This window comes from Homo sapiens, chromosome 14 (assembly GCF_000001405.40).
Source record: "Homo sapiens chromosome 14, GRCh38.p14 Primary Assembly".
Taxonomy (NCBI): Eukaryota; Metazoa; Chordata; class Mammalia; order Primates; family Hominidae; genus Homo; species Homo sapiens.
Genome location: NC_000014.9, coordinates 77355837 through 77377134, shown reverse-complemented (window position 1 = coordinate 77377134; position 21298 = coordinate 77355837). Strand labels below are relative to the sequence as shown.

Below are 21298 nucleotides of genomic sequence, written 5' to 3'. Positions count from 1 at the left end.
GTGCTCGGCGCTCGCTCGGCCTTCGGCTGTTTCCGGAGCCACTCGCGGCTGGCAGCGGAGAGCTCCGTGCGCGGGCTGCAGATGTCTGACCTGCAGGCGGCTGAGGGGCCGGGCTCCTGGAGCCCCACAGCCCGCCCAGGGTCGGCTGGCGGCGTCGGGGACTGCCAGGGAGTGGAGGGGAGCCAGGCGGCCGCCTCAGGTACGCAAGGCCGGGGCGCTGGCGGGTGGGTGCCGCCCGGCCTCAGGGCCCCGCACCACGGCGCGAGCCTCCGCCGCGCTCTGTCCTGGGCTTCCCCGCGGAGCGGACCCACCTCGGCAGCCCCTTCGCGCGCGGGGCCCCTTCCCCGCCGCTGCCACCACCCGGGCCCTGGGCTCGAGGTTATTTTCTACTCACTCCTGTTTCGAAATGCCTTGATTCCTGCCCCGCTTCCTTTCTGAGATCTGCCCAAATGGTAGTGACAGGGTGGCTCTGCCCCTGGCGCCTCTTCAGCTTCAGTTTCAGCTTCAGCCGGGGTTCGGGTCCCACCTCCGTCTGCTAATCACATCTAGACTGCCGACCCGAACCCTACTGGCCTCGCCGCCCCCTGCTTCTGGCTCCCCACCCTATCCCCATCTCAGTCCCCTGCCCCAGCCTTACCACGCGCCTCTCGGCCCCCACCCGGGTTGGCAGCCTTGCCTTCCTCTGCCAGAAGCCCACTGCGCCCTAGCCTTCCTGCACATAGGCCCCCTGGCCTTGCTGCCATCCTCTCCATCGCTTAGAGTGGGAAAAATGAAAAGCAGAGTTGAAATAGGTAGTGTCTGGGGTCTTTTGCTTGAACACAGTAGCCAAAGCAAGAGCAGGAATTAAAAATTTGGCCTACCTCCCTCATTCTCAAGACCCTCATCCTCTTCTTGTCCAGGACGACGTCTCCATTTCTACTAACGCGAGTTCCTCCGTGTGTATTATTTCAGTGTCCAAAGACAAAAGAGTCCATCCATCACACTTTCTTCTTTCAGCCTCCTGAACACCACACACGATGCAACTGAAAGGATGCTCTTTTGAAATACGAAAGGGTAGAGGGGAGAGAACTTGTCTTATTTAAGTAGCAAATATAAATTAATTTTCTAGGTCTGAAATTAAAATAGACACCATAAAGTATAATGGTTGAGGCACTACTGTGGAGCCAGGGTGCCTGGATTGGAGTCTGAAACGTCAGTTTCCTCATCTGTAAAATGTGATTACTAAAAATATCTGCCTCATAGGATTATTGTGAGGATTACTTGAGCTGCTTTGTCTAAGGCATTTGGGGTATAGTCCATGGTACACACTATACTCGTCTCAACCATTGTGACAGTAAGGTCTCTTTTTGTTCAGTTGAACTTCCTGTGCCGCCAGAGGTGTTCTTGGATGTATGGCTTCCAACATGGTGCCTTTTTCTGTCTTCTACTCTGATCCCAAGTATCTTCCCTCTCATAATGCTGCCTTATTCAAACACACACACAACTCACCCAGCTCTTTCCCATGATTTTATATTCTTTTACTTTAAAACACCTGACAAATTTTGCCTTTTTTTCTTACGAACTCTGCTTTGTATTAAATTAAAAATCGTTGGCATATATTTAACATAGCAGTAGAAATTCTAAGCATAATGTCTAAAAGACTAAGCAAGTAAACACAGAAAGGTAAGTCTTATAACACTTGTCCCTTGCATGCGCCAGTATTTACAAATTAAGCATGTTTTTACTTCCCCTTTAGGTTCTCATGTGTTTATGGCAAACGTACCCACGCGTTTTAGATAGATGAGTGTGTTTTTTTTTCCCCCTGACATCTAATTCATTCCTGCATTCACTTCCTCCCAGGACATTGGTAGAGATGCTTACTTTCCTTCCTCTTACCCTCAGAATGCAGGGTGATAATTTTTTTTTTTAATGTCATGTAGGGGTTTATTATAGTAGCCCAGAGCAAGCTCTTCCTCTTGAGGTAGGATTTGTTGCTAATAAAATAATAGTAATGATAACCTACAGATATTGAATGCTTATTCTGTGCCAGAGGTGGAAAAAAATTTATATTTTCTGATTTAGTCATGTCAACAATCATTTTCTTCCCATTTTACAGAGGAACAAACTACAGCTGAGAAAGGTTAACTTACCTGTTCAAGTTAGCGCAAGTTTTTACTGTCTGGATGAAATTGTCATCTTGTTATGATGAAGTCTATAATTGTTTGTTTTTATTGGCCATGAATCAAGTATTGGTACTCGCAGACAGGTTATGGTCTCTGTCCTCAAGGTGTTTTCAGTTTGATGAGATGAGAGATCCATTTCAGGGAGAAACAATTAACAATTCAAAACATTATATAATTGGGCGTCTTTTATTACAATTCTTTATCTACTAAGAAACCTGCTTGGAGTTAGGAACGGAATCTCTCTTGCTTGTTTATTTATCTAGAGCCCTTGATGTTGTGTTTTAGAGGTTTCGCAAATATTTGCTGAGTTTGATGGTGAGAGAAAGTCTGAATGCAGAGATCTGGATGAGCATCTAATGAATGTGAAGAATTAGGGTTGAGATAACCAAGAATGTTCCTTGGGTTAGAGCAATGGTTTTCAACCAGGTACGATTTTGTATCCCCAGGGCATGGCAATGTTTGGAAACATTTTTGCTCGTCACAACTGGTGGCAGCTATTGCTGACATCTAGTGAGGATAGGCTAGGGATGTTTGCTAAACATCCTGCAAGGCACAGGGCAATCCCCATAACAAGGAGGTATCTGGCTCCAGATGTCAGTGGTGCTGCTTTTGGGAACGCTGTGTTAGAGTTAAGCTGGGCTTCCAAAGCAGTGTGGAAATACTATATTTGGCCTGGACCAGAGGCTTGGGCGTAAACCCCAAAAAACTGCTTTAAACTTGGAATTCGTTTGATTGGATCCTTCTGCCATCTTCCTCTAGAAAATGATACAATGAGTAAGCAATAGAGCTCTAAGAAAGAATGAAATTTAATGAGATTTCTCTCACCCTTTCAGAGAGAAAACAGCAGTAAGAAATGGAATTGGATATTCAGGTGTTCTGTTAGTCCATTTGGAATACCTGAGACTGAGTAATTTATAAGAAAAGAGTTTTAATTGGCTCATGGTATTGCAGGGTGTACAGGAAGTGTGGTGTTGGTATCTGTTTCTGGTGAGGGCCTCAAGAAGCTTAGAATCATACTGAAAGGGGGAGCAGGTATGTCACATGGCGAGAGTTGGGAGTGAGAGAGAGAGAGACGGGAGGAGGTCCCAGACTCTTTTAAACAACCATATCTCAGGTGAACTAACTGAGTGAGAACTCACTTATCATCAAGAGGATGATGCCAAATCATTCATGAGGGATTCATCTCCACGATCCAGTCACCTCCCACCAGACCTCACCTCTAACATTGGAAATCACATTTCAGCGTGAGATTTGGAGGGAACAAACATCCAAGCCATATCAGGTATTGTTGAGTTAAGGGTTTTGGTTTTTTGGTGTATCTTATTCCTTCAAAGCAGGAATGTGTCATTATCCAGAATAACCATAACTTGTTTTTTAAAAGTGTTCTCTGCAGAGAATACCTATTGAGTGTCTTCATGTTTGTTAGCTGAGGTTTTGGTGAAAAGGAAGGAAAGGATTTATGTTCTTATGAACTAAGCTCTCCAGTGGTCATGGTGTTCTTATTGTTTTATGCATTGTAATTGTTTTTAATAGTCTTTTATTTGAGGCACCTGGGTTCTTCAGTTCCCCAGAGGAGAGATAAATCATTCTTTAATTATGAAACTATCTGAGGCATACTTGTTGCATCACTTAAAGGCAGGTTTTTTTGTTTTTGTTTTTGTTTTTTTTTTAAGTTTAAAGGAAAATAAAACTCTATTGTGATCCTGAAGTCAGCAGTAGAACTTAGTTTGGTGTGTATGTCCCCCAGAGCTATCAATACATTTAGATGTTGAGGATGGAAACAGGTCAGGTAAACTTGTTCATGGTTCTAAGGTAGAAGTTAGAATATTACAATAAGTCTTTTTGCAGTGATGAAAATATTTCATATCTGTCCCAGCTACTCAGGAGGCTGAGGCAGGAGAATCACTTGAACCCAGGAGGCAGAGGTTGCAGTGAGCCGAGATTGCACCACTGCACTCCAGCCTGGGCGACAGAGGGAGACGCTGTCTCAAAAAAAAAAAAAAAAAAAAAAAAAAAAAAATATATATATATATATATATATATATATATATATATATATATATATAATATCTGTGGCTATTTCAATGTGCATGAATTAAAATTCAAAATTTGGTGGCTACCATGTTGAATGGTAAGAATAATAGGGAGTCAATGACAAACAGCCTTGATGTTTTTTAGTTTTCTATTGTGGTTTTATGTCAAAATGTTAACATTTTGTCTGCCTGTGGCTTTCTTTTTCTTACAGTGGTTGTGTTTTTAGTGTCCAGATAGTCGATTAGTCAGATAGTTGATTATTCATGTCGTGATTCAGTCTAAACAGTATAACCAAAGGTGCACAATCTGAGTGACCTCTCAGGAGCATGTCCCACTCAAGGGCTGAAGAGAAATTGGATCACATGGTCACTAGATTTGGTTGGAACATAAACTCACTTAATTTGTTTTCGTTTAAGCCTCTTGAGTCTGTAACCACATAGCCTGCTTTTAGTTCTTCTGCACTGGAATCTAAAATGACAGGCTAATTATCTCTTTGCAGCCTGTTTACTGAGGGGGAAATCCTCTGAGGCCTGTTCTAAAGAACCCTGACCTGATATTCAAATGCTTTTGAAAAAAACCTGCTTTTTGGTTCTCCTTGTAGGGAAAGTACGAAGTACACAGTAAGTTTGAATCCCTAGCATGATCAGAATGTCTGAAACCAGACCCTTTGGTAATGTAGAAAGAAAATGCACATTTAAAAAGTTGTCAAATATAAAATAAGTTATTTTAAGGAAGTTCCTTTTTTCTCTCTCACCTTTGCTTTAGTGGCCATCAATGATAAATTAAGTTATTGTTAAGCTTCCATTTTTCCTCCTCCGTTCATTGTTTCCGAGATTTCGGCCACTGAGGAACCATGGTAATGACTTTGCCACACTGGAGAATACCGTTACAGTATTAGTTATTTACTATTTTTTCTTGACATTGACATTTAATTGACATTTTGATTGACACTTAAAAGTTTCATTCTAAATAATACCTACGATATTACTAGTTTGATATATCCATTTTTCTTAATATATACTAGAATACATATTTTTAAAAATAAAAAACATTTCCCCACATACCATCTAAATTTGCAAAGTCTGGCCTGATTTCTCTGATCTCTTCTAGGAATACTTTCAGAATTGGCTTATATTTGGCTAATATAATAAAAGCTATACTATAGGAAAATTGGCTTTTTCTTCTGCATAGTGGCTTAAATTTCACTGAAGAACTTCAGGAAACCTAAAAGGCTGTGCTCATAATTCTCTCTCACTGAAACAGCGCTGCATCTCCCACACTTTATACTTCTGGAAATAAAGTTATGTTTTTCTTTCTCCTTTTCTTACTTCCTGCCTCTCTGAATCCAATTATAAGTTGTTTTACCAGTAGTTCTTATGTAATTTAGGGCATTCTTTAAAATTAAAAATAATTTAGGGCATTCCTTTAAAGTTAAAAATCAAAAGCTCAACTCCTTATGGGATGGAAAGAAAAAAAATCAAAAGCATATTTTTTTCCAGTATACATTAAGTTGTTAAAATGCTATGAGAAGTGGTGCTTACCATGTGAAAAATGCTCAACCTAAATCATAATAAGGGAATTGGAAATCCTAACTACACTTGGTAGTTTGCTAACTCACTTTGTTGGTCGGTGTGCAGAAGCAGACACTCTCATGCTTTGCTAATGAGATTGTAAATTGGTACAGATTCTGTGGAGGGCAACTTGTCAATATCCATCAGAATTACAATATATGCCCCTTTGACTCATTCTTTCCAGGAATTATAGATTTATTTATTCTCCTGTTTAATGACATAGATACAAGGTTATTATGGCATTGTTTGTAATGGTAATACATTATGGAATATTCACCCAATGAAATACTAATCAGCTGTAGAAAAGAATGAAGAAGCTTTTCATGTGCAGTTATGGAAAGGTCTTTGAGATATAAGTGGAAAGAACAAAGTACACAGTAGTATGTCCAGCATGCTCCCCCCGACCTTTTTTTTTTTCTGAGACAGAGTCTCGCACTGTTGCCCAGGCTGGAGTGCAATGGCGTGATCTTAGCTCACTGCAACCTCCGCCTCCCGGGTTCAAGCGATTCTCCTGCATCAGCCTCTCAAGTAGCTGGGATTACAGGCACGCACCACCACGCCTAAGCATGCCCATTTTTTGTGTAAAAAAGTGAAAAAGTATACACACACACACACACACACACACTTTTTTTTATATGCATAAAACATCTTTGGAAGACTACACAAAACCAAATAACATTGATTGCTTTTGGAGGTAGGGACTGACATGGGAGGAAATTTTTCACTGTATACTTATATGCTTTTTGAATTTTGAATAATGTGGATAAATTATTCAGAAATAGTTAATAAAAATAGTCTTTAAAATATATAAATATATGTGTACATAGATAGACACACACACAAACTTGGCATGAGACTTCACTATGTCTATATCCTAAATAAGAGCCTTTCTATAGGTCTGTATTCTGTTTCTGCTCATCAGGAACTGACATTTTCTAGACCTTTTTCTCTCAGTGAATTTTTTTATAAAAGGTTATAAGTCTCCTTAGAGATTAATTTTGTTATTCTTTAAATCCACTACTGTCTTTCATTATTTTTGTGCTAGTTTCATTTCTGTCTAAAAATTTAACCTTTTTGAAGTCTTCATTACGATCCAAAGGACAGGATAAGCCAAAGGGGGATAGACATAGTAGATAAACTGATATTATTAATCAATGACAGAGAGAGGGCAGAATTTTTTTTTTTTTTTTTTTTTTGAAACGGAGTCTCGCTCTGTCGCCTTGACTGGAGTGCAGTGGTGTGATCTCGGCTCACTGCAACCTCCGCCTTCTGGGTTCAAGCGATTCTCCTGCCTCAGCCTCCCGAGTAGCTGGGATTACAGGCATGTGCCACCACGCCCGGCTAATTTTTGTATTTTTAGTAGAGATGGGGTTTCACCATGCTGGCCAGGTTGGTCTCGAACTCCTGACCTTGTGATCTGCCCGCCTCGGCCCTCCCGCCTCCGCCTCCCTTACAGGCATGAGCCACCGTGCCTGGCAGAGGGCAGAACTATTTTTGTTTCTATTTTATTCACTAAGGTATATTCAGATTGATATGGGTAAATAGGCAATATGGATTTCTGTTTTCAGTAATAGCAGACTAGGTAATTATCTCTCATCAGGGACAATTAGAAAATATGGGTGAAATATAAACATCTGCTGGAAGATACTGGAGAGATAGAAAGATCATGAAGAATTACCTAGCTGTGATCCATGTGAGAGCTATAGAGATCCAAGGACAAGAGTCTATTTTGGGGCTCTTTTGTCTCCTGAGGGTACATGCTGGATTCCTGAGTGGGGAAGCTGAGTGACAAGGTCATGAAAAGTGCCTCTTTGAACTAAAGTAACAGGAAATGGATTAGTGTTCAGGACCCGTCAAGGGGGAGCCTGGTGAACTCCATTTCCTTTGGGTTAGGGCCATGAAAGGCCATGCCCTAAAAGTAGGTCATTGCAGGGAGTGCAACTCAGCTTCAGAAACAGCTAAGTTCATGAATTGGGATTTTTGGGTGGCTTTGACAAGCTGGTTCTAAAATACATATAGAAATAGAAGGCCACAAATAGCAAAGACACTCTTGAATAAGACAACAGGGAAAGATTTGTTCCATCCAACATCAAGACTTATTTTAAAGTTTTTAAAGAGTAGTCAGGCTCTAGGAATAGAATCAAAAGCTTAGAAACATGTTTATACGGACACTTGCTTTGCAACAAAGATTGTTAACATAGAGCAGTGGGTAAGGTAAGGTAAATGTTTCTGGGACAATTGAATATTCTAAGAGAAAGGAAAGTAAAGAAACGTAATCTTTACCTCACACATCATACACAAAAAATCAACTCGGTAGATTATAGAACAGTATGTGAAAGGTAGTACATAAGCACCTACCTATAGGATATGGGAGAATATTTTCGGATCTCAATATAGTGAAAGACATCTTAGACAGGACATACAAAGACTAAGGAAGGCAAATTTGATAAATTTTGAGTACACAAAAGTACTTTGGTTCATCAAAGGCCACCATTAAATGGGAAAAGTCATGTCACAGAGTGGAAGCAGGTAATTATAATACATATACCTGACAAAAGGTTTGTATCTAAAACTCCTATAAATAATAAAAAGGGACTGGGCTTGGTGGCTCATGCCTGTAATCCCAGCACTTTGGGAGGCCAAGGTGGGCGGATCATGAGGTCAGGAGTTCGAGAACAGCCTGGCCAATATGGTGAAACCCTGTCTCTACTAAAATACAAAAATTAGCTGGGTGTGGTGGCACGTGCCTGTAGTCCCAGCTACTAGGGAGGCTGAGGCCGAAGAATCTCTTGAACCCAGGAGGCGGAGGTTGCAGTGAGCCGAGACCATGCCACTGCACTCCAACTTGGGTGACAGAGTGAGACTCCGTCTCAAAAATAAATAAATAAATAAATAAATAATAAAAAGGACAATCCAGTAATAAAATTGGCAAGAGACTTGGAGAGGCACTTCACAAAAGAAGATTTTTAAATGGCCAAGAAATACGAGTCATTGGTGAAATACAAACTAAATTAGCATACATCTACCAGAATGGCCCCCCAAAAAAATTTTAACATGACCAAGTGTCAGAGAAGGTCCAGAGTAATGAAATGATGCTACAATGCTGGTAGCATTATATTTGGTACAACCCCTTTAGAAAATAGTTCGGCATTATCTACTGAAATTTAACATTCAAATTTCTATGACTTAACCGTTTCCATTCTGACATTTATATCCAACATAAATGTATGCACTGTAGCCAAGACACAAGAATATTCATAGCAGCATTATTCATAATAGCCCCAAACTGGAGTTAACCTAAGTATCATCAACAATAGATAGATAGCTCATGGTGGATTCATGGAATAACGTACAGCAATGACAGTGAACAAACTGGCTGGGTGCGGTGGCCCATGCCTGTAATCCCAGTACTCTGGGAGGCTGAGGAAGGCGGATCACCTGAGCTCAGGATTTTGAGACCAACCTGGCCAACATGGTGAAACCCCGTCTCTACTAAAAATACAAAAATTAGTTGGGCGTGGTGGTGGGCGCCTGTAGTCCCAGCTGCTCAGGAGGCTGAGGCAGGAGAATCGCTTGAAGCGAGGAGGTGGAGGTTGCAGTGAGCCGAGATTGCACCATTGCACTCCAGCCTGGGCAACAAGAGTGAGATTCTGTCTCAGAAAAAAAAAAAAAGAAAGAAAGTTAACAAACCTACCTACAATTACATGGGTGCATTTTTTGATGCAGATTTTGATGGATGCATCAATCAAAATAATGACTGAAATAAGCAAGACCCAAAAGAAAACATTCTTTTTCATTTTCCTTTATATGGAATTCAGAAAACAGGCCCAGTGAAGCAACAGTGTTTAGGAATGCTTACTTAGGTGGCCCAGCTATAAAGAAAGCAAGGAAATAATGTCCATAGTTGGGATAGTGGTTTTCTTACCTTAAGGAGGAAAGGATCAGGTAATGATTGGGAAGGTCATGAGTGGTGCTTCTGGAGTGTTAGAAGTGTTCTATTTCTTGGCCTGGGTGGTGTTTGTGATAATTTATTGAGGTATACACTTTTGTGTACTCTTCTACATTTGCGTTATATTTCACAATAGAAAAGATTTAAAAAGTTTTTTTTTTTTTTTTTTTTTTTTTTTAGACAGAGTCTTGCTCTGTCACCCAGGCTGGAGTGCAGTGGTGTGATCTCGGCTCACTGCAACCTCTGCCTCCCAGGTTCAAGCGATTCTCCTGCCCCAGCCTCCCAAGTAGCTGGGATTAGACACACACCACCATGCCTGGCTAATTTTGTATTTTTAGTAGAGGCGGGGTTTTACCATGTTGGCCAGGCTGCTCTGGAACTCCTGACCTCAAGCCATCTGCCTGCCTCGGGCTCCCAAAGTGCTGGAGTTACAGGTATAAGCCACTGCGCCCAGCCTAGAAAAGGTTTTTAAAAGAGTCAGTGTATAATGTAGTTAGTAAGAATGCTGACTTTGATCTTGGATTGCCTGAGTGCATATCACTTCTATTCGTATTTGCTGGTCATCTTGGGCATCATGATTTCTCCGAGCTTCAATTTCTTAAACTATAGAAAGGGAGTAATGATAGCATCAACTTCAGTGGTTCTATAATTCAGTGCAATTCAGTGACTATTCAATATGGTGATGCCTACAAAAAACTTAGAAAATAATTGACATATAGTAAGTGACCACTGAGTCTTGGTTATAATAACAAAGATGATCAGAATAAAGGTAGAATAGCTAGGTACTTTAATTAAGTTCAGATTTCTGGACCCAGTGAAATTCTATCCAGGAATTTTTGTCAGAGTTCTTTTTACAAGCCATATAAGTTAATTCTGGCTGTCTTAAGCAGAAAGAGGATTTATTAGAAGGAAAAAGGAGGCTCACTAAATTGTTAGAAGGCTGGAGGACTCCAGAGGCTAAGCAGCAAGAACAACTTGGCTGTTTGGCTGCCACTAGATGAATTCTGTCTCTCATTTGTCCCACTCCTGTTTCACCTTTTCCAGGTGGGAATATTTTAGATTATGTGCTTGTTCCCTGACTTCCTGGTACTGCGAAGAGAAGGATCTTCCATTTTGACTTCCACTGAGTACTATTGTCAGTGACAGTTCTCCCCAAGGAGGAAAAGGTTGAGTATTTTTGAAAGCCAGAAGATTGACAGATGACTTCTACGTCTGGGGTCCTGAAATAACTTGCAAATATACTTGTGCACCATCTTTGAGGGATGTCGGGGACTAGAAATGGACATACCTAGTTATCCTGAAGGGAAAGAGTATAATCCAGAATTTGGAGACCATTAAACTTGATCCAGATTTTCAGTAGAATATGTCATTTGAATGTAAAGAAAATAAGTGTTGCTAGGAGCCAGCATGGGCGAACTAAAAACACATTTGACTATCTAATTATTTTCTAATTATAGCCTTTCTAGTCTTTCATTACTAGTTAGGTCCTTTCTCTCTCTCATGGACTTCTGCAGAGGCCTCCTATCTGATCTCGTAAAATCCATCCTACCTATGGCTGCCATAGAATTGTACCAAAAAAATACAGGTTTGACCATGTCATTTACTAGCTTAAAATTATTCATCACCTTTGGGACAAAGGACCTTCACACACTTTTTCCTGCTAGATTGAAAGCATCATGAGAGCCAGAACTGTGTCTGCTTTGGATATTCTCTCCAGTACCTAGGATGTGGCCAGGCACTTACTAGGAATTTGGTTAAGTATCAAGTTAAATCACTGGGACCTGTGGCTCTCAGCTCATCTCTCTGCATTGGTGCAGTGGCCTCCAGCCACACTGAGCTGCCACGGTGGTATTTTTTTGTGTTCTTGGTTTTGTTCATTCAGCCTCCTTTGCCTGCAGTGCCCTTTTCCACTTGACTTGGCCAAGTCCTGGTCATTTTTGAATTCAGTGCAATTGTCATCTCTTTCAGGAAACCTTTGATACTTTTATTCCCTAAATTAGTTAACTATATGTGTATCTGTGACATCTAGTGCATAATTCTATCCTAAAGGATACCACACTTATATTACAACTGTCTGTTTATGAGTTTATCTTCCTCACTAGGCTGAGTTCCTTGAGGGCACAAATCATGTCTAATTTAACTGTATATTCCCTACATGGAATATACTGCCTGACATATAGCAGGGGTCCAGTAAAGTTCTGTTGAATTTAGGCAAAGTCATTAACTCAAATTTCCCTTTTTCATGTGGTTGCTGTATATACAGTATATTTTGATTTTGGCAAAATATTTGGCTGAGTGATATCTGAAGGAGATTCAGTGGGCTGCTTTAAATGGATAAATATCATTGTTGAGTGGAAGAGGTAGGTTAAGTAGTATGTGTGGTCAGAATTCCCTTATTAAACAACAAAAAAGGCAACTGATTTTTATGCATAAAAGAGCTTGTTTCAGCCATATGAGCTCTTAAAGGATGACAAATTAAAACAGTAGTGTTTCATCGTGTTCTATCTATAGAATGGCAGCAGTTATAAGGAATGATTATATCTAGTGTTAGTGAGAATGTGGGGAAATGGTTACACTCGGATATCCACTCCTAGTAGAAGTGAATTTTGGAGAGAAATTGGGCAATGTGTATAAAAGTGTTAATGTGTAGACCTTGACAAGGTTTTTCAGTTCTGGGGACTTGTCCTATAGAAATGAAGTAAAAAAAGGCTTAAATAACAAAATGCAAGCTGGGGGTGGTGAGGGTGCCTGTATTCTCAGCTACTTGGGAGGCTGAGGCAGGAGGATCACTTGAGCCCAAGAGTTTGAGGCTGCAGTGAGCTCTGATTATGCCACCAGACTCCAGCCTGGGCAACACAGTGAGACTCCATCTTAAAAAAAATATCATGGCTCATGCCTGTAATCCTAACACTATGGATGGCCCGTGTGGGAGGATTGCTTGAGCCTAGGAGTTTGAGACCAGCCTGGGCGTCATAGGGAAACCCCATCTCTACAGAAAAATTTAAAAATTAGCCAGATGTGGTGATGCATACCTGTGGTCCTAGCCTCAGCCTCCTGAGTAGCTAGGAGCTACTCGAGAGGTTAAGGCTGCAGTGAGCTGTGATTGCAAAACTACACTTGAGCCCTAGAGGTCAAGGCTGCAGTGAGCTGTGATCACAACACTACACTCCAGCCTGGGTGATAGAGCAAGATCCTGTCTCAAAAAGAAGAAGAAGAAGAAAAAAAAGAAAGTGGTCTAATGCATTAAAAGATAAGAGAAGTGCAAATTAAAATTAATATACTATTCTTCACATATCAAGTTCTGCCAATTTTCTAACAGTTTGACAATGTACTCTGATGTGCCAGGTGTGGGGAAACGGGCACTCATATATTGATGCAGTGAATGTAAAATAGATGATCCTTGTGGAGAATTTGGTTCAGAAATTCCACTCTCAGGAATCTATCCCAAAGATACACTAGCAAAAATATGAAATATGCACAAGGCATTGTAGCACAGTTTGCAATATTAATAGACTGGAAATAACCCTGATGTCTATTGGTAGGGACATGAGTATGGTGTACATCCACACAGTCAAGTATGCCAGTTTAAAAAGTAATGAGCCAGCTGTGGTGGCATGCACCTAAATCCTAGCAACTCAGGAGACTGAGGCAGGAGGAATGCTTGAGCCCAGGAGTTTGAGTACAGCCTAGGCAACATTAAAAAAAAAAAAGAGGAATAATGTTAGGCTATTTATTTGAGATACTATTATTATGATTATTATTTTAGAGACTGGGTCTGACTCTGTCACCCAGGCTGGAGTGCAGTGGCATGATTATGGCTCACTGCAGCCTGGAACTCAAGTGATCCTCCTGTCTCAGCTTCCCAAAGTACTGGGATTACAGGCCTGAGCCACCATGCCTGGCCTCTTCTTTTTTAATGTAAGAATTTATTGCTATCAACATTCTTCTTAGAACTGCTTTTGCTTTCGTTGCATCCCCTAGGTTTTAGTATGTTATATTTCCATTCTCTTTTGTCTCAAGATACGTTTCTCTTTTGATTTCTTCTCAACCAATCTATTGGTTGTTCAGGAGCAGGTTGTTTAATTTCCACATCTTTGTGATTTTTCCCTGAATTCCCTCTGTTACTGATTTCTAGTTTTTTTACCATTGTGGTTGGAAATAATACTTGTTATGATTTCAGTTATAAATTTGTTAAGACTTGTTTTGTGGCCTAACATCTGATCTATTCTGGAGAATGTTACATATGCAATGGAGAAGAATGTGTATTCTGCTACTGTTGTATGGAAAATTGGGCCCATTTGGTCCTAAGTGTAGTTCAAGCCTAGTATTTCCTTATTACTTTTCTGTCTAGTTGATGTATCCATTGTTGAAAATGGGATATTGAGGTCCCCTACTATTCTTATATTGCTATCTATTTTCCCCCTTCATGTCTATTAAAATTTGGTTTATACCTTTAGGTGCTCTGATGTTGAGTGCATATGTATTTATAATTGTTATGTCCTCTTGATGGCTTGACCCATTTATCATCAAATAATGGCCTTCTTTGTTTCGTGTGACAGTTTTTAGACTTTATTTTGTCTAAGTACAGCCACCTCTGCTCTTTCTTGGTTACTGTTTACATGGAATATCTTTTTCAATTCTTCCACTTTCAGCCTGTATGTGTTCTTAAAGCTAAAATGAGTCTCTTGTGGGCAGCATATAGGTTGGATCTTAGTTTTTTTTAATCCATTCACCCACTCGGTGTCTTCTAATTGGAGAACTTAATCCATTTACATTCAAGCTTATTATTGATAGGGAAGGACTTACTTCTGCTATTTTGTTAATTGTTTTCTGGTTGTTTTGTAGAGCCCTTGTTCCTTTCTTACTCTTGTTTTCCTTTGTGATTTGGTGATTTTCTATAATGCTGAGCTTTGATTCCTTTCTCTTTATTATTTGTTTATCTGGGGTGGTTTTTTGCTTTGTGGTTACCATGAGGCTTATGTAGAATAAATTGTAGTTAGAATAGCTTATTTTAAACTGGCAACAACTTTAGATGTAGAAAGAAATTTACTCAACGTAATAAAGACTGCTTATGAAAAACCCAAAGCCAGTGTCATAATCAGTGTGGAAAAATGAAAACTTTTTCTCTATGATCTGGCACAAGGCAAGGATGACCACTCTCATCACTTCTATTCAACATAGTAATGGAAGTGCTAGCAAGAGCAAGCAGACAAGAAAAAAAAAAGGCATACAATTAGCTGAATGGTAGAAGTTATGTCCATTTGCAGATGACATGATCTTATATGTAAATAACCCCAAAAACTCTACAAAAAAAACTTAGAATTAATAAATGATATCAATAAAGTTGCAGGATAAAAAATCAGTGCACAAAAATCAGTTGCATTTCTGTACACAGTAACAACCTATCCAAAAAATCAAGAAAATAATCCCAATTTACAGTAGCATAAAGAATACTTAATAAATTAGCCTAGCGTGGTAGCCCATGCCTGTTGTGTCAGCTACTCGGGAGGCTGAGGTGGGAGGATTGCTTGAGCCATGGAGGTCGAGGCTGCAGTGAGCTGTGATTGTGCCACTGCACTCCAGCATGGCTTACAGAGACCCTGTCTCAAGAAAAAAAATACTTATGAATAAACTTAACCAGAAAGATCTGGACACTTAAGACTATAAAACACTGATGAAAGAAATTAAGAAGACACAAACATATGGGAAGATCTATCCTGTGTTCATGATTTGGAAAAATTAATATTGTTCAAATGTTCATACTACCCAAAACAATATGCAGATTTAACACAATCCCAATCCAAATTCTAATGACATTCTTCACAGAAGTAGAAAAAACAATTCTAAAATTTGTATGTAACCACAAATACCCTGAATATACAAGCAATCCTAAGAAAGAAAACATTGAGGCATCACACTTTCTGATTTCAAATTCTATTAAAAGCTATAGTAATTAAAACAGTATGGTGCTAGTATAAAAACAGCAGATCAGAATTGAGAGCCTAGAAACAAACCCAAGCATATATGACCAACTAATTTTTGACAAAGGCACTAAGAGGACACAGTGGGGAAAAGATAGTCTCTTCAATAAATGGTTCTGGGAAAACTGGATTTCCACATGCAAAAGAATGGAAATGGGCCGGGCGTGGTGGCTCATGCCTGTAATCCCAGCACTTTGGGAGGCCAAGGTGGGCAGATCACTTGAAGTCAGAAGTTTGAGACCAGCCTGGTCAACATGGTGAAACCCTGTCTCTACTGAAAATACAAAAAAATTAGCTGGGCATGGTGGCATGCACCTGTAATCCCAGCTACCTGGGAGCCTGAGGCAGGAGAATCACTTGAACCTGGGAGACAGAGGTTGTTGCAGTGAGCCGAGATTGTGTCACTGCACTCCAGCCTGGGTGACAGAGTGAGACTCTGTCTGAAAAAAAAAAAAAAAAAAAAAGGCAAAGGATCTGAATGGGTGTTTTTCCAAAGAAGACGTAAAAATGGCCAACAGGTACATGAAAAGATGTTCAACATCAGTAGTCACAAGGGAAATGCAAATTAAAACCACAATGAGATATATCACCTCATGCCTGTTAGGATGACTTCTCTTTGGTAAGAGATAACAACTGTTGGTACAAATGTAGATGATGCAGCCATTGTGAAAAATAGTATGGAAATTCCTAAATAAAAGTAGAACTACCACATGACCCAGTAACCCCCATTCTGAATATATACCCAAAGGAAGTGAAATCACCGCCTCAGATACCTGTTCATTGTCGCATTATTCACAATAGCCAAGATATGAAAACAATCTATGTGTCCGTTGACAGACAAATGAATAAAGAAGCTGTGGTGTGCATACATACACACAGAGGAATATTATTTAGCCTTATAAAAGAAGGAGATCTTGCCATTTACCACACATGGATGAGCCTGGATGACATTATATTAAGTAAAATAAGCCAGACACAAAAAGAAAAATACTGCTCGATCTCTCTTATATATGTAATCTAAAAAAAAAAAAGTCAAGTACACAGAAACAGGATAAAATAGTGGTTACTAGAGGTGGTGGTGGTGGTGGTGATGGTAGAGGAAAGGGGGAGGTGTAGGTCAAAGGATACAAAGTAGAGATACATAGGATGAACAAGTCTAGAGATCTAATGTACAATATGAGAACTATGGTTAATAATATTTTGCTTGGGAATTTTACTAAAAGGAAATTTTAGGTGCTTTTGCCACATACAATGGCCAACAGGTATATAAAAAGATGTTCAACATCACAAAAAGAGAGGATAGCTGTGGGATGATGGATTTGTTGATTTGCTTGATATGGTAACCATTTCACCATCTATATGTATATCAAAACATTATGTTGTACACCTTAAACATATACAATTTAAAAATTTAAAGTAATGAGGAAGATCTGTGTAATCTTTTCCAGACACACCATGAATGGAGTTCCAATCTTGGAATGCCACTTTTTCTGGACCTAACTCTTGAATGACCATGTTAATTCATTCAATTTTTTTTTCTATTATTTGTCATAGTTGTTGAAAGCCAAAGAGCTGCTGAGAACTGTAAATTTTTTCTCACTGTCAGAGTGCCCATGATGATATCATCCTGTACCACAGAATGTGAATTACATTTGAAATTGGCAGATTGAGGTACTCCATTTATCAAAACATCTCCAGATAATCATGTGGATCTTTTCTTTGCAGCTCAGACATCTAACAACCATGGTTTGCCTCCACCTGTGTGTACCAGAATGGCGTTGAGGCCAGGTTTCATTACTCCTTTGATATTCATTAATATTTCTTTTTAAACTGTTTTTTGATCAAGTAGAAAGCCACTCTTCAGTTTTACTCGATAGCAGATATTATGAAAACAACACAGCTCCCCAGTAAATGTCTTCAGGTCGTTGTAGGTTGTCCTGGGTAGGTCATGTTGTTTCATCATTGGTATTTCTTTGTGACACTGGGATAAAAACTTGGACATTACTGGGAGACATCTGGAGAATTTCTGCCTGTTTTTATATAATAAACCAGTGTTTATTATAAAGGATAAACAGCCAGATGAAGAGGTAAATAGGGCGAGGCCTGGAAGGGTCCTGAGTGCAGGAGCTTCCGTCTGCATGGAGTTGGGTTGCACCACTGAATGTGGATAAATTCACCAACTTGAAAGCTCTTCTAGGCTGTGTTGTTAAGTGATAAAAACAAGTTGTAGCTGGGCGCAGTGGCTCATGCCTGTAATCCTAGCACTTTGGGAGTCCGGGGTGGGCATATTGCTTGAGCTCAGGAGTTTTGAGATCAGCCTGGGCTACATGGCAAAACCCCATCTCTACAGAAAATTTAAAAAATTAGCCAGGTGTGGTGGCATGGGACTGTGGTTCCAGCTACTTGGGAGCCTGAGGCAGGAGAATCGCTTAAGCCAGGGAGGTTGAGACTGCATTGAGCTGTGATCGCACCACTGTACTCCAGCCTGGGTCACACAGCAAGACCCTGTCTCAAAAACAAACAAACAAACAAACAAACAAAAAAAAGTTGCAGAAGAAGAATGTGTATTTTTTTCTAAGATGGGGGCAACATACAACTATATGTATATGTATTTCCTTATGTTTTCAAAAACAAATAATGGAAGGTTAAAAGCTAAGGAGAAGAATGTTATAATATCCATATCCTTAGTTATACTGTTATTCGTTTAAAACTATTATATTTACATTGTAGAAGAAAGCAAATATGTATATATGTGAATATTATTAAGATCCAGGATTTTCCACAACAAGACCGAAAAATACAAATATAGAATTAAAGTTAGGTTAAAAATCTTGTAATCTGGGCTAGGCGTGGTGGCTCACGCCTGTAATCCCAGGACTTTGGGAGGCTGAGGCGGGCAGATCACGAGGTCAGGAGTTTGAGACCAGCCTGACCAACATGGTGAAACCCTGTCTCTACTAAAAATACAAAAATTAGCTGGGCGTGGTGGCATGTGCCTGTAATCCTAGCTACTCAGGAGGCTAAGGCAGAATTACTTGAACCCAGGAGGTGGAGGTTGCAGTGAGCAGAGATTGCGCCACTGCACTCTAGCCTGGGCGACAGAGCAAGACTCCGTCTCAAAAAAAAAAAGAAAAATCCTGTAATCTGAATTAGAAGTATTTGCATGAATTCATTTTACATGTATATTTTTATATGTGATATTAATATATGACATTTAGGATATATATATATTCGTGTGTGTGTGTGTGTGTGTGTGATATATTACATTGATTGTGGTCTTTAAATACAATTTCTTTTTTTTTTTTTTTTTTTTGGAGACAGAGCCTCACTCCATCACCCAGGCTGGAGTGCCTTGGCACGATCTCAGCTCACTGCAACCTCCGCCTCCTAGGTTCCAGCGATTCTCATGCCTCAGCTTCCCAAGTACCTAGGATTACAGATGTGTGCCACCATGCCCAGCTAATTTTTGTATTTTCAGTAGAGATGGGGTTTCACCATGTTGGCCAGGCTGGTCTCCATCTCCTGACCTCAGGTGATCCACCTGCCTCAGCCTCCCAAAGTGTTGGGATTACAGGTGTGAGCTACCATGCCCAGCCTTTAAAGACAATTTCTAATGAAAAAGAACCAGGACTCCTTAGAGAAATAGTTGATTCCAAGTGTGGGACAGGCATTTATAAGATTTTAAAGCTCAGAACTTATGCTATAAGCAAGACCAGTGGTGTCATCTTAAAAGGACACAAGAGCCAACTTTGAGGAGCTCCCACAGGCCAAAATTAGGAAAACTTGAAGCACATAAAATATGCTAAAATTCATGTGTTTCTAACGATACTTCAAAGAACAAATCATTGGTTACCTTTGGAGGTTGTTATGATTCTAAGTCAGTTGGTGAAGGATCAAGTCTTTATCCTGCTTTTCTCTTATGACTGTGTCAGAGTAGCCAAATAGTTGATGAGGGGAAATTTTGTTTTTAGTAGAATTCCAACTAAGAACAACTGTAGAAAGTGCTAGAATTGGAAAAGTCATTTTCTAGTTTTTAATGAAATCCTGTATCTATTTTAGACAATGATCATGAATGCCTGCTAAAGCCACTAGGTGCAGGGTTAATGAGGAGCTTGATGGTGGATTAGGCTGAAAACATGAACCTAATCTTTTTATCATTAAACTTGTAATAACCATAGATTATGTGCCTCTTAATGTAATACAATAGGAATTACATATGTTACTTCTGGAATATTCTTGCAAGAACAAAACTGAACCTGAATTGAGTCAAGCCTCTAGATCAACACAGTCCAATAGAATTGCTTTGATGGTGAAAATGTGCTCCCTGGCAACAGTAGCCATTAGCAACTCATGGCTATTGAGTACTTGAAATGTGGCTAGTTGAGATGGGTGGACCGAATTTTAAATTCTTTTAAATTTAAATTTAGCTACGTGTACTAGTAATTACTATACTGGACAGTGAAGCTCTACATCTATGACCGGTTTATAGGAAATATAGTGCATAAAATAATCTGTTAAGTGATACCGTGAAAAGGCAGTCAGCCAAATTCAGAATGTTTGAAAAGTCTGCAGATCAGTTTTTTAAAATGTCAACAAATATATTGTATACAGACCCATGGTGGTGAGGATTGATGTAGATTAAGAGATTATAAGGTAAATTTAGTGTGTGAACTTTATTTGGATTCTGATTCAAACAAACCAGCTCCTAAGAAGAAATTCTGGGAGACAACTTGGAGAAATTTGAACATGGGCTGGGTATGAGATGATATTGAGGAATTGCCAATTTTGTAGGAGTGATAATGTTGTTGTACCTGTGTTGAAAGTCTTCTTCTTTAGAGATTTGTTCTAAATGAATGTAATGGTAGATACAATGATGTCTGGGCTTTGTTTGAAATAATCTGTTGGTGAGTGGGGCAAGAAGGTAGGGCATGGAGGAAACCAGGCCAAGTAAAATCTTGTTGAAAACATAGGTAGGGTGCATGAGTCTTCATTCTACTGTGATCTAATTTTGTGATTTTGTATATGTTTAACATTTTCTACAATAAAGGTTTTTAAACAGCAGTAATTAGTTAAAATATATAAAGAATAGCAAGGAATAATTTACTCAGAATTTGGAACAGGGAATATAGGATAGGAAAGGGCATTGGGTAGGGGAATTCTAAAGTACTAATAATTCACCTAGTTAGTAGGTATGCAGGTATTTGTATTATTAATATTTTAGCTCTGTATCTTCTTTTCATGCAATCTTTCATATGTGTGGTTTATTTCACAATAAAAAGAAAAAAAGAGCTCATTGTTACTATGTAAGGCCTCTTACAGACTCCAGTTGGAGGAGCACACTTGAACCTCATGGTGTTACAAAGTAGCCTCTCTGGTCTGTTTCTCTCCTAGACTCAGAGGTCCCCTTGTTTTTCTTTCCCTTTACTTGAATGCATCATTGTACTTTCTGAAAATTATCTTCTCTGCTTAGTCATCTGCTTTTATGTGGCCTGTGAAGGCTTCTCCCAAAAGGCAGGCTCAGCTCCTAAACTGACAAAGTTCTCCACAGTCTGTTTCCGTCTTGGATACCAACTCCAGATTTTACGGAAGAGAATCGGACTG

The 21298-nt window shown here is 39.6% G+C and overlaps 1 protein-coding gene and 1 pseudogene across 5 annotated transcripts in view, besides 2 other annotated features; one reads left to right on the top strand and one right to left on the bottom strand.

Moving 5' to 3' along the window:
* Nucleotides 34-463: a silencer, noted in NCBI's record as "silent region_5972". NCBI's record gives its function as "represses an Ori minimal core promoter by ATAC-STARR-seq in GM12878 lymphoblastoid cells {active_cell/tissue: GM12878}" and the evidence as "EXISTENCE:reporter gene assay evidence [ECO:0000049][PMID:35858748]".
* The window catches only part of TMED8 (transmembrane p24 trafficking protein family member 8), a 42074-nt gene continuing 20816 nt past the window's right edge, over nucleotides 41-21298 (top strand). For 3 of the 5 annotated variants that reach the window (NM_213601.3, NM_001346131.2, NM_001346133.2), the window contains exon 1: nucleotides 41-199. In NM_213601.3, coding sequence (NP_998766.1) covers nucleotides 82-199 — 118 coding nt within the window. In that variant the 5' untranslated portion in view covers nucleotides 41-81. Of the gene's footprint in view, nucleotides 200-3225; nucleotides 3445-21298 lie in introns of those variants that run through there. The other 2 variants (NM_001346134.1, XM_017021224.2) reach the window with 1 other exon arrangement.
* Nucleotides 4629-4678: a silencer, noted in NCBI's record as "silent region_5971". NCBI's record gives its function as "represses an Ori minimal core promoter by ATAC-STARR-seq in GM12878 lymphoblastoid cells {active_cell/tissue: GM12878}" and the evidence as "EXISTENCE:reporter gene assay evidence [ECO:0000049][PMID:35858748]".
* Nucleotides 17136-17719, bottom strand: LOC100422225 (ATP binding cassette subfamily G member 2 (JR blood group) pseudogene; annotated as a pseudogene).